The 15,996-nt window shown below is 40.7% G+C and overlaps 1 protein-coding gene across 4 annotated transcripts in view, besides 1 other annotated feature; it reads left to right on the forward strand.

The window, feature by feature from the left end:
* Positions 1 to 15,996, forward strand: part of STS (steroid sulfatase) — a 207,352-nt gene that overhangs the window by 68,742 nt on the left and 122,614 nt on the right. The window contains exon 1 of one of the 4 annotated variants that reach the window (NM_000351.7): positions 3,425 to 3,655. The exons of the other annotated variants lie outside the window; for them this stretch is intronic. The gene's annotated coding sequence lies outside the window, so the exon portion shown is untranslated. Of the gene's footprint in view, positions 1 to 3,424; positions 3,656 to 15,996 lie in introns of those variants that run through there. 4 annotated transcript variants of the gene reach the window in all.
* Positions 2,891 to 3,080: an enhancer, noted in NCBI's record as "active region_29391". NCBI's record gives its function as "activates an Ori minimal core promoter by ATAC-STARR-seq in GM12878 lymphoblastoid cells {active_cell/tissue: GM12878}" and the evidence as "EXISTENCE:reporter gene assay evidence [ECO:0000049][PMID:35858748]".

A 15,996-nucleotide genomic window follows, 5' to 3' on the forward strand; every position in this document is an offset into this window, starting at 1 on the left:
GGCTAATTAGGAGCTCATGTGCATAGCAAACATATTGGAATGTGTTGCTCCTCCAAGCTGGTCAGAGACATTTGCCATAGTCACTGAGTCATCAGTGGGGTTATCTGCCTTGCAACCTAACAGTGATACAACTGACATCTTAAGAGATGGAGCAGACATGCACCTGCACCCCCTTTTTATCAACATGATGGTGAATAAGTGACATGTGGCTTCCAATAGATGCAGAATAGCAGGATGCTACATCAAGGGCTGTGATTCTCTAGTCTTTAGGGGGTCTCCCAGGAAATTTTATTTTATATAAAAATCAAACTTCAACAGGGCTGCAACTCCATTGGTCCAAAAGTCTCCCCGGTTGGTATCAAATAAAAAAACAACAAATGCAGACTTAGTAAGGAGGGACTTTTATTCAAAAAGCTTAATGCAAGAGGGAAAACACTCTAGGTCTGCAAGCCTCTCAAAGGCTAGGGGCAAAAATGGTTTTTCTTTTATGGAGAAGAGTAAACAAGGCTAGAAAACATAACAGGCACTGACCTTGAATTTAAGGGTGGCCTGATTAGACAGTAGATGAGAAAACATTTGCTCTGAGGCCAGACTGTTCCCAGGAGGAAGTGCCTGCTCACTCAGACTGAGGATGGGCCCATGTTCAGGGTTCTGGGGGAAAGAGGGAAACTGATCCAACATTTGACTAGGGAGGACAAGTGGCTCAGCTAACTTATAACTGTTTATAAGACAAAGAATTAGGATTTAGAGGGTCTGTCTCTGTCCTATTAGACAAGGGACATCTGTGAGTCTTTTCTCAGTCATATGGGGAAGGGGGTTCTTTGCAATAAGCCATTTTCCAGAACACAAGGTGTGGGAGGATGTTAAGGAGTATTCAGTAGCACTTGATAAAGCACAGTAAGGAAGACTTTATTCAGGACCATCGCAACAGGTGCAGGGACCACAGCAATGGGGACTTGCAGTGGGGGAGAAAGATTGGGCTCAGATCTGAATACAGCATGGGAAAGTGGGGATTCATAGCCACGGAATAGGGTGCCCATCAGTGGATGGAAAACTACTAAGAGGAAACACCAAGGGCCAGCGAGATTCCTCCTAACCGACCTAGCAGGATTCTAGCATAAGGCCAACCAGGTGACCACACATCCCCTGGGGGTGGTGGAGGCTGAGGAGCCTGATCCCTGATCAGATACTGAGGTTGAACAGATGGAGGGGGGGTCCAGTAGGGTGTTCTTGCTAAATTGACTTAACAGGCTTCTTGCTAAAACTGGATTTTACAAGCAAGTGCACAGATGGGCCTAGAAGAAGGTTGAAGGTCCCCAGAGGTCAGACAGCTATGATATAAGAGGTTTTGAGCATTTGCATCACATACCACATTTTCTAGGCACTAAAGAGAAGGTAACAAGGCTTTAGCTTTTAGAGGCCTCCACATGATCAACACCTTCCCTCCTGAGCATGTCGGCCCCCTATGGCCATGCACTTGCCAGCAGCCTCTCTATGGCAACTTTTTGCCTTTTTATTAAAATTGCTCGGGCGTATGAGAGCCAGTTCTAGTCCCAATAGTATGCCCATCTCATCCAACCTCTTACTGCTTCGGAGGTTTGTTTTGACTCTTGTTTGGTTTTCCTAAGGAATCTGGTTGAAAGAGAGAAGAGAGAAAAATATTTTTCAAATCAAATTTCTGCCCCAGGTATTTGTAGAGCAAAGCCGCTGCTTCACCAGGCTAGAGTCCCTTCCCCAGGGCCCAGTAAGACTTTCATGGGCCATGAAGGCAAAACATATTAAATATGTTTTAATATGAAAATATATTATGTAAAAACATAAAACATTAACATTTGTATTTTACAACTATATTGGTGCAAATACCAATATGATCTTCAATCCCCAATGTTCATTTTCTTCTGATTATAACACAAATTAAAACATTTTGTGAGCCCCTAAAAAGGCCTTAGAGTGTGTGCCTGTTGGGTAACAATCTGGCCTTTCCCCACTCTCAGATCATGGAGGTTGGGACTGTTTTGTGTCTTATTCCTCTCTGCATTTCTCAGCCTCTCTCTTGAACTAAGAAGGGAGTTGATGAATCTTTGCAGAACTGGAACTTGTATTCCCCATTGCTTGACATCAAGCTGGAAGTGTAGTAAACATTCCCCACATTGTTGAATTGAATCACATTAGAAAGCAGGGTATTAGCGCACAGCATTTTTAATTGCCAAGGAAAATTTTATTTTAACTTTGCATTAATATGTTCTAAGGAACCTTTATACTTGATGCAATCAGATTCCTGAGAGAAGCCAATACTTTTCCTGTTTTTGTGTTTTATCCTCCATTCTTCATCGTATGCCCTTCAAGGAAATCTGAAAAGTTGGCTTTTTTGAATCATTAGTCACATTGATATGTAGACTGCAATTTTGCTTTTCCTGCGGGATTGCTGACCTTGTAAAATGATGCTTATGTATGCGTCACTAATCTATGTGCTTAACTTTTAACATCTATGTAATGCTAAGAATATAGACATCGCCTGGGGGCAGGTGGAGGTTGAGGAACCCTATAGAGAATGATCTGATATCATGTGTGATCAGATAGTGAGGGTGAGGGCTTCTTGCAAAAACTGGATTTTACAAAGAAGTGCACAGATAATCTTAGAACAAGATTCAGGAGACTGGGTTATATTTGGTCAAGGAAGGAATCTTTGTCAAGGGATTTCTTAACCTTTGCTGTTTTCCAAGATCAAAGGGTTCGGGTGGAATGCGACAATGTCGGTGGTATTTCAACTTAGCAACCTCTTTTTTTGTTTTGTCATGGTTGCTGAGCTGAAAGGGAGAAAATATTCAAGGGATCCACCAAGAAAATGCTCACTTAGGCTGGAACAGCATATAATAAGAGATATGTTGTGGTTATAAGATCAACGATTGCCAAAAAGCTCACTTGAGGGTCTCTCAGGCTGACACCACTTGTCACTTAGCAGCATGATGCAACCTGGCTCTGCAGTTAGCAAACCTGGGCTTTCCAAAAGCTAAAACCACCTCAGCACAGGTGCAGCTTTTATAGACCTTAAAATAAAGCTTACTCTTATAAGAATAGCTTAAACTATCTTTAGGAAAGAAATGCCTGGTCATTGACCCAGACTGAAGACAGGTATAAGAGAGGGGGGAAAATCCCTTAAACTCCCGTTCAGTCTCTTATCTGACCATCTCATTCTCTATGGCCCATGTCACTGGCCTGTTCCTGCTGTAAGTTTCATAACACTGCTGCTAGCATAAACCGCTTGGGTATCAGATTGTGTCTGCATTTATCTTTGACACAAATCATACCGAAGGGGAGAAGTTGCCCCTTCTGAAGAATCCGGTTTACCAGGATCACCTGAAACTCCCAAAAGAATGCAGCAACTAGGCAAAGAGTGTCTCCGCCTCACATTATCTGCCCAAGCACAGTGCTGTTGGCCAAGCCTCCAGCAGCTGACGGGACCCAGCTGTAGTGAGGTTGCAGTGATTGAGTAGGATTGGCCTGCTTCAAAGCAGAGGTTTCTCATGGGAATATGCTTATTAAACTCCCACTGGTGCAGAAACCATGAACAGAGGATGAACAAGTGAAGTTGCAATCTCCTCCATCACAGCTCAGTTCCCCAACAACAGGATCACAAGCTGGAGATGCCTTTAAGGTAAGCGTCTATTCCCCTGGCCAGGCTGGGAGTTTTTAACCCTGAAACATACTAGTTGGGATGTTCACAGCAGCTACCTGCTTGTGTTGCATATTCTCCCAACATGTGTTGTCTTGTTCTTGTTTCTTAAATCTGTTTTTGCTTGGTAATTTCCATTGATTATAATGATTTTCTGTGAGGCTTAGCGAGGGAACATTTTAGGAGAGGTTATAAATGCGGCTAATTAGTGACATGCAAATCGCTTTTGTGGCTGTTTCAAAACATCTAAATGACCTATAATTAAATTTTGTTGCCAAATTATTTGTTAATTATCATCTTCCTATCAAGTTTATTGCATCAGGAGATGTCATTCACTGTCTAAAAGGTGGAGTGAGGAAGAGCATCATGCATATGTGTTGCAGAGTGGGAAAGAATGCTTGTTTTGTTGGGTTTCTGTCTCCATTGGTGTGTTTTTATTTTTTGTTCCCACTTCTATGTATCTCAGATGACGAGTTTGTCTATGGGCTGTCGGAATCTTCTGGTTGAGAAAGATGGTGGGAGCCACTTTGTTTAAATTTCCTAATTTTCCATAAACGAATCCCTTCTGCAATATCCCCGACAGATGCGGCTTTTCACCCTCCACCCAATTCCCTCATGGGAGGAAGGGACTTTGAGAGGCTGATCATTTCGTGGTCTGGCAGCACTTGTAAGTCCCTGGTTCTGTTCTGGACACTGTCCCAGCTGTGGCTTCTGAGACAATGGCTAAATCCTTTCTCTCTTTTACAGACCACCATTCGAGCACACTTAAGTGCAACTCGAATGCCATTTTCCGCTCTGGGTGAAATGTTACCGATTCCTAAGAAATCCTGGATGTCAGATTTTTTTTTTTTTTTTTTTTTTTGAGATGGAGTCTCGCTCTGTCTCCCAGGCTGCAGTGCAGTGGCGCGATCTCGGCTCACTGCAAGCTCCACCTCCCGGGTTCACGCCATTCTCCTGCCTCAGCCTCCCGAGTAGCTGGGGCTACAGGAGCCCGCCACCACGCCCGGCTACTTTTTTTGTATTTTTAGTAGAGACGGGGTTTCACGTGTTAGTCAGGATGGTCTCGATCTCCTGATCTCGTGATCCGCCCGCCTCGGCCTCCCAAAGTGTTGGGATTACAGGCGTGAGCCACTGCGCCTGGCCATCAGATGGTTTTTATACCCTTAAGCATCCTGATCACTCTCCCTTGATATGCCACTGAATCTCCATCCCTCTTAAATCGCAGGGATCTGCACTGAAAAATATTCCGACTCTGGTCTGACTTCGTGTAAACAGCTGAGTGGAACTCATCTTCCTTGTCCCAAAAGCATCTTCTTCTTAACGTACACCAAACTAGTATTAACTTCAGTCTTCTCAGTCATTCCCTTCCCCAACTGACAAAACTTGCTTTGTAGTTGTCTAAAGTCTTCTTCGTAGGAGCTGCAAGTAGGTCACGTCTGAATATTGGCATCTTTGTGTCATTGATTACGTTTCTTAAATAAGAAGATTATGTGTTTTCCCCATTGCATTTAATTTTGTGACTTCCATCTTTTGTTCCACTTCTCAAGGTCTTTTCTGAATCTCTGTTCTCTTCTGACGCACATGCCATTCCCCATGTTGGATAAATATTCTGATAGTCGATTCATACAAATCATTGATGTAAATTATGGAATAGTGCAGAGCTGTATAGCACAGGCTCAGTAACCTCTCTGGTTCGGTACAAAGCTTTAATCAGCACCCTTGTGGAGCGTTTGTTTAGCTAGTTACAACTTTTAGATGCTGTAACACATGATTTTCTAATTCTAAGCTAGATGGCTATTCATTCTATTGCTGATATTACTGGAAGGAGGAAGTCTGGTAGCATTACCTCAAAAGACAGGAGGCCAATGTCGTTCCCAGAGAGCTCAAGATGGCACCAAAAGTTCACGGTTTAGCTTCCTAAGTGCACAGGAACCATCTTTAGGAATATGAATTCAGGAATCTTATGTCAGACAAATTTTGCATTGACTAGTCTAACTAAAAGAAAGATAATTAATATCTTCTTTGTTTATTTAAAAATAACATGGTTGTTTATAAAGTGACATCAAACCATGTGCGCCTCTAGGCAGTAAATGTTTATCGGTGGACATTCACCTAATATACACAGCATACTCTCTGGCTATATTGGGCATCTTTTGTTTGCATTTGCATAAGCACTGTTATAGACTGCTTCTGACTCCCCAAAATTCATATGTTGAAACCCCAACCCCCAAAATGATGGTATTTGGCGGTGGGGCTTTTGGGAGGTGAAGAGGTTCTGAAGGTGGAAACTCATGAATGGGACTAGTTTCCCATAGTGATTATAAAAGAGGCCCCAGAGAGTCCCCTTGCTTGTTCCACCATGTGAGGACACATCAGGAAGGCACCATCTATGAACCAGGAAGCAAGTCCTCACTAAATACTGGATCTCTTGGTGCCTTGTTCTTGCACTTCCAAGAACAGATGTGTTGTTCCAGGACTGTGAGCAATATATTTCTGTTGTTTATAAGCCACTTCGTCTATCGTACTTTGGCATAACAGCCAAACAGACCAATGCAAGAACCATTTTAATAAACAAGGAATTGTCATTGGCTAATTAAGTAGAATTGTGTAATCATGTTGTTTGAATTTGGATCTTGTTGGTTTATTGTTGCCATAACTGTCTGTCTGCAAGTAACAATAAGCTTGAAGCCTAAGCAAACTTAACATATGAAAATCTGTGTCAAGGGCATCTCTGCTTTATAAAAGACAGTCTTCAATTAGGACCCCTCCCCAGTGGGATTGAGCACAAAAACAGCTATTTGTGAGAAAGGATGCCCTCAGCTGCAAAAAAAAAAAAAAAAAAAAAAAGATGTTTTCAGTCTTTTTCAAAATTATGTTTAAAGACAACTATCATCATTAAGTTTTTTGCTCTATCTAGACTTTGCAATGTTTTCCATCTCAGAACAGAAACTACTGCCCTAAATATTCAATTAATATTAAATGGCCCTATAGGAATTTATGTCTAAGAGATAGCATTCATTATCTGTATTTTTTCCTATTGCTTTTTAGGCATTTATTTATTTTTATATATTTAGGGGGTACAAGTATAATTTTGTTACAGGGATATATTGTGTAGCAGTAGTCTGGACTTTTAGTGTACCCATCATCCAAATAGTGAACTTTGTACCCATTAAGTAATTTTTCAACCCTCACTCCTATCTCACTGCCCACCTTTTATACTCTCCAATGTCTATTATTCCAATTAGTATATCCATGTCTATCCATTATTTAGCACCCACTTATAAGTGACAATATGCAGTATTTGACTTTCTGAGTTATTTCAGTAATGATAATGACCTTTAGTTCCCTCCATTTTGTTGCAAAAGACATGAATTCATTCTTTTATATGACTGAGAAGTATTCCACGGAATATATATATACCACTTTTTTTTATCCAATCCTCTGTTGATGGACACTTAGGTTGATTCCATATCTTTGGTATTGTGACTAGTGCTGAGATTAATGTACAAGTGCAGGTATCTTTTTAATACAATGATGTCTTTCCCTTTGGGTTCATACCCGGTAGTGGGATTGCTGGATCAAATGGTAGTTCTATTTAATTCTTTGAGAAATCTCCATACCGTTTTCCATAGAGGTTATATTAATTTACATTCCCACCAACAGTGTGTAAGTGTTCCATTTTCTCTGCATTCTTGACAACATCTGTTGTTTTTAGACTTTTTAATATAGCCCTTCTGATGGTGGAAGATGGTACCTCATTGTGGTTTTGATTTGCATTTCTCCGATGATTAGTGGTCTTGCACATTTTTGTTTTCATATGTTTGTTGGGTGCTTATATGTCTTCTTTTGGAAAATGTCTGTTTGTGTCATTTGACTCCTTTTTAATGGGGTTATTTGTTTTTGTTTTTTTTTCTCATTGAGTTGTTTGAGTTCCTTGTGGATTCTAGATATTAGCACTTTGTCAGATGCATAGTTTGCAATTTTTTTTCCATTCTGTAGGTTGTCTATTTACTCTGTTGATTGTTTCTTTTGCTGTGCAGAAGCTTTTTAGTTTAAGTCCTGTTTACCTAATTTTGTTTTTGTTGCATTTGCTTTTGAGGACTTGGTCATGAAGTAAAGCCAAGAGTGAATTAGATATATTTTTTTAAGTTTATGGAAACCAGCAGAAGACATAGACTACATAGACATTCATTTTTTTTTCACTTTCCTCATCATGGAAATATTCTGAGACATGAAACATCACTGTGACCCAAGGAGAGGCATTGGCGAGAGTTAGTTGAAAGAGAAGGAGAAAGGAAAAGAGTGGAATATCATTCACTAAACACCTCCCATCTGCCTTGGAAGTTGGGTGCACTTCATCTCTTTTAAAAATGGAGATAATGGGACATGGAAGCTTGGAGTGATAAAGCCAATATTTGAAAAGGGGACGAGTTGACTTTATGATCTGATCTTTTCACTTAAAGCTCTCAGTTCTTCAATGAGAAAAGTAGGTGTCCTGGACATTATTTTATACTAGCCAAGTTCTGACTTGAGCAGGAATTAAAATGTAATGGTTTCAAAGCACTGGATAATTCATCAACCAGTAGCACTAAGCACAGGGGTAGGGTTAGTCCCTCCTCATACCAATTTTATGGCTGTCATTAGAGTTAAGCATTTAACCTCCCTGGACTTCAGTCCCTTCACTTGTGCAATGGACTGACTGTTTATTTCCCCCCCAAATTCATATATTTTAATTCTAACCCCCAAGATGATGGTATTTGGATGAGGGGCCTTTGGAATGTGATTAATCATGAGGGGTTTGTCCTGAAAAATGGGATTAGTACCCATATAAAAGAGACCCCAGAGAGCTCCCTCATTCCTTCCACCATATGAGAACATGGGGAGAAGGCACTGTCTATGAAACAGGAAGCAGGTCCTCACCAGCACAGAATCTGCAATACCTTAGTCTTGGACTTCCAGCCTGCAGAGCTGTGACAATAAATTTCTGTTGCTTATAAGCTACCCAATCTGTTGCATTCCACGATAGCAGCCCAAATAGACTAAGACAATCTGTAAAATAAGGGTATTCACCACCCATGAGGTCTCATAGAACCTTCTGGGTCTAATCGTCTGTGGTTCTCAAAGCCTTCCCCATTTGAAGGTTGATGTTTCCTACTTGGTGGAACATTTCTCTTGCTTCCAACTTTATTTTGCTCTTTCTGGCTTCCTTGGCTGAATTCTCTCTTCCCTGTAATTTTCTCTGCATGGCACTTGCAGTTTCACCAGTGGGCTATGGAAGATGTCTTTCAAAGCCTCTGGCTAAGGTGTAAGAACAGCTGGGGTCCTCATTGGGAAGCCGATTAAACTTTAAAACAGTAGGCTGAGGTCTAGAACTGTTCCAGGAGGTGAGATGACAGCAATTGTCCCTGTGTTCATACCCTCTGGTTAATGTGACTCCCAGCTATGAATCAACCTTTATATAAATGCATTTTGGCTCACTGGACTGAATGTAGCTCGGATTCAATAATAGAAAATGTGTGGGAGGAGACAGTGAGAACCCCGAAGCCAGAATGGTCTGATGTTGTTTCTTGTGCTGGAGGTCCCCAGGTTCAGCGATTCACCAGAAGGACTAACAGGCTCAGTGCATAGTGGGGCTCATGGCTAAGATGTATTTCAGCAAAAAAATTCAGAACACATTGAACAAAGGGAAACGGCACATGGGGTAAAGGCTGGCAGAATCCAGGCATAAGCTTCCAGGTATGTCTCTGAAAGGAGTCACACGGGACATACTTAACTCCTCCAGCAGTGAGCTGTCAACACATATGAAGTGTTGCCTACAAGGGAAGCTGGTTAGAGACTCAGTGCCCAGGTTTTTTATTGGGAGCTGTTCATATAGGTGCCCTTTGCCTAGTACTACCAAAATTGCAGACTCCCAGACAGGAAGCAGGTGTTCAGCATAAACTATGTTGTTTGTACAAGCATTTCAGGCAGAGTGAGCCATTCTTGTTAATTCTGGGAAGGGTGAGAACCCTCCCCAAATCTAATTCCCAATTGCCAACCAAGAGCACATGTTACAAGCAGGCCTTTCTAAGGAGAGCAATCTCAGGTCCTCTATGTTAACTTCTTTCTGCATATTTCTAAAGTGTTTTATATTTATTATCTTTTTAAGGAAACAAACTCTGTCACCATGAAGTCCTAGATGCATCCCGGAATGTAAAAGCTAGAGGAGAATGTTGGATGTAGCCCATGACTTCATTTTATAGATAAGAAAGCCAATTCTCTTCTTTTTCTCTTTTCTTATTTTTAGTATATTTTTATGAGATATAATTTTCCTACAGTAAAATGCACAGATCTTCAATGTTCCGTTTAAGTTTTGATAATTTTATACAAACATATAATCACTGTCCCAAACAAAATATATAGAGCATGTCCATTATCATCTCAGAACGTTCCTGTTGCCCCTCTCTAATCAATACCCCAGCCAGAGACAAACACTTTTCAGAGTTCTATCACCACAGACAATTTTTGCCTTTTCTTGGACTGCATATGAATGGATTCAAGCCATATAGATTATTTGGGGTCTCACCTCTTTCACTCAACATAATGTGTGTGAGATTCTTATGTGTTGTTGCATGTATCAGTGGTTCATTTATTTTCATGGCTGAGTAGTCTTAGGTTAGATTGATGTTCCAGAGTTTGTTTATGCATTCTCCTGTTGATAGTTATTTGGATTGTCTCCAGTTTTTGGTTATTGTGACTAAGGCTTTGGGTGGATAGATAGTTTTATTTCTCTTGTTTAAACATCGAGTAGTGTAATTGCTTGACAGTAAGATACATGTATATTCAATTGTATAGGAAATGGCCAAACTTTTCTCTAAAACGTTTGCATGAGTTTACACTTCAACAAGTGATATATAAGAGTTCTAGGGGCCAGGAACGGTGGCTCATGCCTGCAATCCCAGCACTTTGAGAGGCTGAGGTGGAAGGATTGCTTGAGCCCAGGAGTTTGAGACCAGCCTGGGCAACATGGTAAGACCTCATCTCTACAAAAATAAAAAAATTAGCCAGGGTGGTGGCTAATTTGCCTCTAGTCCTAACTACTTGGGAGGCTGAGGTTGGGAGGATTGCTTCAACCCAGGAGGTCAATGCTGCAGTGAGCTTTGTTCGTGCTACTGCACTCCAGCCTGGGTGACAGAGCATGACCCTGTCTCAAGAAAAAAACTTAGAGTTCCACTTGTTCTGCATCTTCACTAGCATTTGATATTTTCCGTTTTTCGTTGTTTTGTTTTGTTTTTATTTTAGCCACCGTAGGGGTTGTAAAATGCTATCTCATGGTGGTAATTTTCACTTCTCTGATTACTAATCAGGCTGAATACCTATTTATTTGCTTATTAGCCTTTTGTATATCTTCTTGTATAAAGTGCATATTCAATTGTTTTACCCATTTCATTGTTTCATTCCTTTTTTATTATTGATTTGTTCTTTACATATTCTGGATATAAATCCTTTAAAAAATAATTGTCTTACAAATAAGTTTCCCTGGTCTATGTTGCTTATCTATATTCCTTTTTCCTTAATTTTTAAAAAATTGAATGTTACTTTGAATTATTTTATCTCATGTATCCTCTCAATAGTCCCACTCTCTTCACTTGATGATAAATTAGAAGCATCTAAAAAAACCAATCATTCCCCAAAAAGTAAATTAAAACCTTTCTATAGCCATTGTTCAGTTCTAGTTACTCTATTAGCCTTGTTCAAATCGTTGTTTTTTTTTTTTTTTATAAAAGCAAGCTTTATTTTGCTATCTGATGAGACAATATGCTAGTTTGAGAGTTTGGAATAAAAAACATGGATATTTGTATTATTAAGGAAAGTTTCCAAGCACATAGTTATTAAGGAAAGCACATATTATTAGGCCAAGTTTCCAAGCAAAAGTCTTAGAATAGACATAAAGATGTGAAATAATGAACGGTGACCTTAGTATTTGCCATTGTCATTGTTCCATGCAATATGTTTAAAAAATGTTTTTATTTGATAGTGATAAGAATACTATCAGATCTAACCTCTTAAAATTTTAAGTGTGCAATACAGTATTGTCGACTGCTGATACAATGTTTGACTGCAGGTCTCTGGACTTAATCCATCTTGCTTACCTAAAGTTTTATGCCTGCTGACTCATAAATCCCCATTTTCCCTTCCCCTATCCCCTGGAAACCACCACTTTACTTTTTGGTCGTATGAATTTAGCTACTTTAGATACCTCCTGTAAGTGGAATCATACAGAATTTGTCTTTCTGTACCTGGCTTATTTCACTTAACATAAGGTTCTCAAGGTTCATCCATGCTGTTGCATATTGTAGAATATCCTTCCTTTTAAGGCTGCATAGTATTCCATTGTATGTATAGACCATGTTTTTTTTTGTTTTTAATCCATTCATTTGTTGATGGGCATTTAGGTTGCTTCCATATCTTGGCTATGGTGAATAGTACTGCAGTGAGCAGAGGAGTGCAGATATGTCTTTGAGATCCTGATTTCAATGCTGTTGGGTATATTTCCAGGAGTGGGGTTGCTAGATCACAAGGTAGTTCCATTTTTTAATTTGTCAAGGAAATTCTGTACTGTTTTTCGTAGCAACAGCACCTTTTTGCATTTCCACCAGCCATGTGCAAAGAAATTCTCCACATCCCCACTAACACTTGTCTCTTGTTTTTTGTTTTTTTAAGAGCAGCTGTTCTGACAGGTGTGGAGTGATCTCTCATTGTGTGTGGGTTTGAGTTGCATTTTCCTGATGATTGGTGATGTTGAGCATCTTTTCATGTGCTTCTTGGCATTTGTATGTGTTCTTCGGAGAAATGTCTAGTGAAGTCCTTTGGCCATTTTTTAATTGGGTTATTTGTAGTTTTGTTATTGAGTTTGGGAGTTCATTATATATTTGGGATATATGGTTATCAGTATATGGTTTGGAAATACTTTCTCCCCTTCCATAGGTTGCCTTTTCACTCCATTATTTCCTTTGCTGCACAGAAGCTTGTTAGTTTGACGTAGTCCCACTTGTCTGTTTTTGCTTCTATGGCCTGAAGCCTATTCACATTCTTAAAAGTATCTTTTGATGAATAGAAATAGTTGCTTCATTTTACCTTTTACTCTTTACATTTTAATTTGGATAATTTTCTTGACCTGTCTTCAAGGTCTCTGATTCTTTTCTTTGCCCATGACATGAACTTCTTATTTCTGATGTTACATCTATTTTGTTTTATAGCTAGCATTTCTGTTTGTTTCTTCTTTTGTATTTTCATCTTGCCACTGAAATTCCCCATCTCTTAACACATGCTGTTTGCCTTTCCTGCTAGATTCTTTTATGGATTTCCTATGGATGTCTTAAAGGATATAGATGAAATATCTAACATTTGCATACCTCCTGCTATTTCACATGTCATACGTGCAAACATAAATATGCATGCATAATAGACATTGATTATAAAAAATAGTGGAGACCGAGTCAGTCATATTTTCGCCTAGAAAACATCACACGCTTCATCTGTGTGGCCCCTTGGTAAGCTGCCATTTCAGTGTGGTTGTGATTTGTTTGGTTTTAATTAGGTTCCGCTCACCCCCTTGGCTTCAGATGCTTTGAGAGGGGATCCACACTTTCCCTTTAGCAGAGCTTAGGATCTGAGCATTGGTGAGACTCTTAAGTCATGCTCTGTTTGCAGCCTGACTGCTCACTTGTTGGGTTTTTGAAGGGTCCTCTTTGTTTTCTGTCTTGCCCTGGATTTGGTCATTCCAAATTCCCATCCTAGCTGGGGAACAGGGACAGGTGTGTGGCTGCCCATGGGGAAGATTTGGAGTGCCTTGGAGGGGTGCATCTGAGCTTCCCTGCACTGCCTCACTCTGAGTTTTTTTTGCACTGTGTGGTGTACGATTCCCCAGGGGGCTTCATGAAGACTGCAGGAGTGCATTGAAGGGTTGGCTGCAGGTGGGCTGTCTGGCTGGACCTCATCAGGATGCTGATCTGCCGTGCCAGCCTACCTACACCCAGTCGTTAAAAACTCCTTTCAGGGTCAGCTGGATTCTTCCTCTTCTCCCTACTCCTGCTACCAGGGGTGAAAGCAACTGAAGGTTTCTTCTTTGTAGGAAGGTTCATCACATCCTGGATTCTAGTTCATTTATGTTTTTTCTGCATCTTCAGCCTTTTTTTTGTCGGGGGGCGGGGGGACAGGGTTTTGCTGTGTTGCCCAGGCTGCAGTGCACTGGTGTGATCATGGTTCACTGCAGCCTTGCACCCCGGGGCTCAAGAGATCCTCCGACCTCAGCCTTCTGAGTAGCTGGGACTACAGGCATGTGCCACCATGCCTGGCTAATTTATTTATTTATTTATTTATTTGTAGAGATGGGGTCTTTCTATGTTGCGCAGGCTGGTCTCAAACTCCTGGCCTCAAGCAGTCCTCTCGCTTTGGCCCCCCAAAGTGCTGGGATTACAGACATGAGCCACCACCAGGTCCATCCTCAGCTTTTTGATGGATCTTAAAAAGCCATGATTTTAATTGGAAGCCTCATAAATCACTGTTGGGAATGTGAAGTGGTTCAACCACTCTAGAAAACATTCTGGTAGTTCCTTCATAATTTAAACCTAGAATTTCCATATGACCCAGCCATTCCACTCCTAGGTATGTACCCAAAAGAATTGAAAATGGGTGTGAATGTTCATAGCGGCATTATTCATGATTTCCCTAAAGTGAAAGCAACCCAGACATGTGTCAGCTGAGGAATGGATAAATAAAATGTGGCACAGCCATGCAATGCAATATTATGTGGGCATTGTATTGGTCCACTCTCACACTGCTATAAAGAAATACCTGAGACTGGATAATTTATAAAGGAAAGAGGTTTAATTGACTCACAGTTCCGCATGGCTGGGAAGGCCTCAGGAAACTTACAATCATGGCAGAAGGGGAAGCAGGCACATCTTACATGGTGGCAGATGAGAGAAGAGCAAGTGAAGGAGGAAGAGCCCCTTACAAAACCATGAGATCTCATGAGAGCTCACTATCACAAGAACAGCATGGGGGAAACTGCCCTTATGATCCAATCACCTCCCACCAAGTCTCTCCCTCAACACCTGGGGATTATAATTCAAGATGAGATATGGGTGGGGACACAAAGCCTAACCATATTAGGCATAAAAGGAACAAAGTACTTTTGGTAACACTGTAGTATGTTTATGCCGATATTATCAGGTGGGTGAGCCTAGAAAACATCATGCTAAGTGACAGAAGCCAGATACAAAAGGCCTGATTATTTTCCATATGACCCAGCCATTCCACTCTTAGGTATGTACCCAAAAGAATTGAAAACAGGTGTGAATGCTCATAGTGGCATTATTCATGATTTTCCTAAAGTGAAAGCAACCCAGACATGGTGCATGATTCCATTCATATGAAATGTCCAGAATAGGCAGATCCGTAGAGAGAAAGCTAATTAGTGGTTCTCAGGAGCTGGGAGAGAGGAATGAGGAGTGACCACTGACAGGCACAGGGATCTCCGTTTAGGGGTGATGAAAATGTTCTGGAATGAGATACACCTGACAGTTGTACAACATTGTTGTACAATTAAATTGATGTACTAAATGCCACTGAGTTGTACACTTAAAGTGCTTTAAACGGTGAAGTTGATATTACGTGGTTTTATAATAATTTAAAAAGAAACTATGAGTTCAAGGCTTCATGGCTTCTTTACCTTGTCAATGTGTGTTCACTGGTCCCTTTGGCTTTCCACGTCTTAATTAGTGTGGAGTCCTAATTAGGGAGAGAGGTCAGGCTAGGGGGATGGAGGGAAAGTAGAAAGAGAAGGCAGGTAAGTTATAAGTCTCCCTTTCTTCATGCTCCAGAACAGATAGCCCTCCTGTGCAAATAACTCACAGTCTGCCTACACCCAGCTATCTCCAGACCCTTGGCTGATAGAAAATTGCAAGTTATCTCACTGCAACCTTGGCATTATCGGTACTGCACAAAGCCCTCTTCAGCACACAGCACAAGCACCATCCTATAAAATCCCCAGCAAGTCTTTGTCTCTTTGCAGTCAGCTCTTCTCTCACTGACCTGCCTGTTGCACGCTTGCAACGTATTTTCATACTCTCTCTAATAAATCTGCTTTTTTTTTTTTTTTTTCTTAACCTACAACTGTCTTGGTAAATTCTTTTTATTCCTGCACCACCGACCGCAGATAGTCGCCACTCACCCATGACAATTAGCAGTTAAAGCTGACTGCTCTTTTCATAGCCTATAACTTTAAATTTGTTTTTTTCTGTAAACATTTTCAACTGGCCACATATGTCTTGAGTAGA

This window comes from Homo sapiens, chromosome X (genome assembly GCF_000001405.40).
Source record: "Homo sapiens chromosome X, GRCh38.p14 Primary Assembly".
NCBI classification, from domain to species: Eukaryota; Metazoa; Chordata; class Mammalia; order Primates; family Hominidae; genus Homo; species Homo sapiens.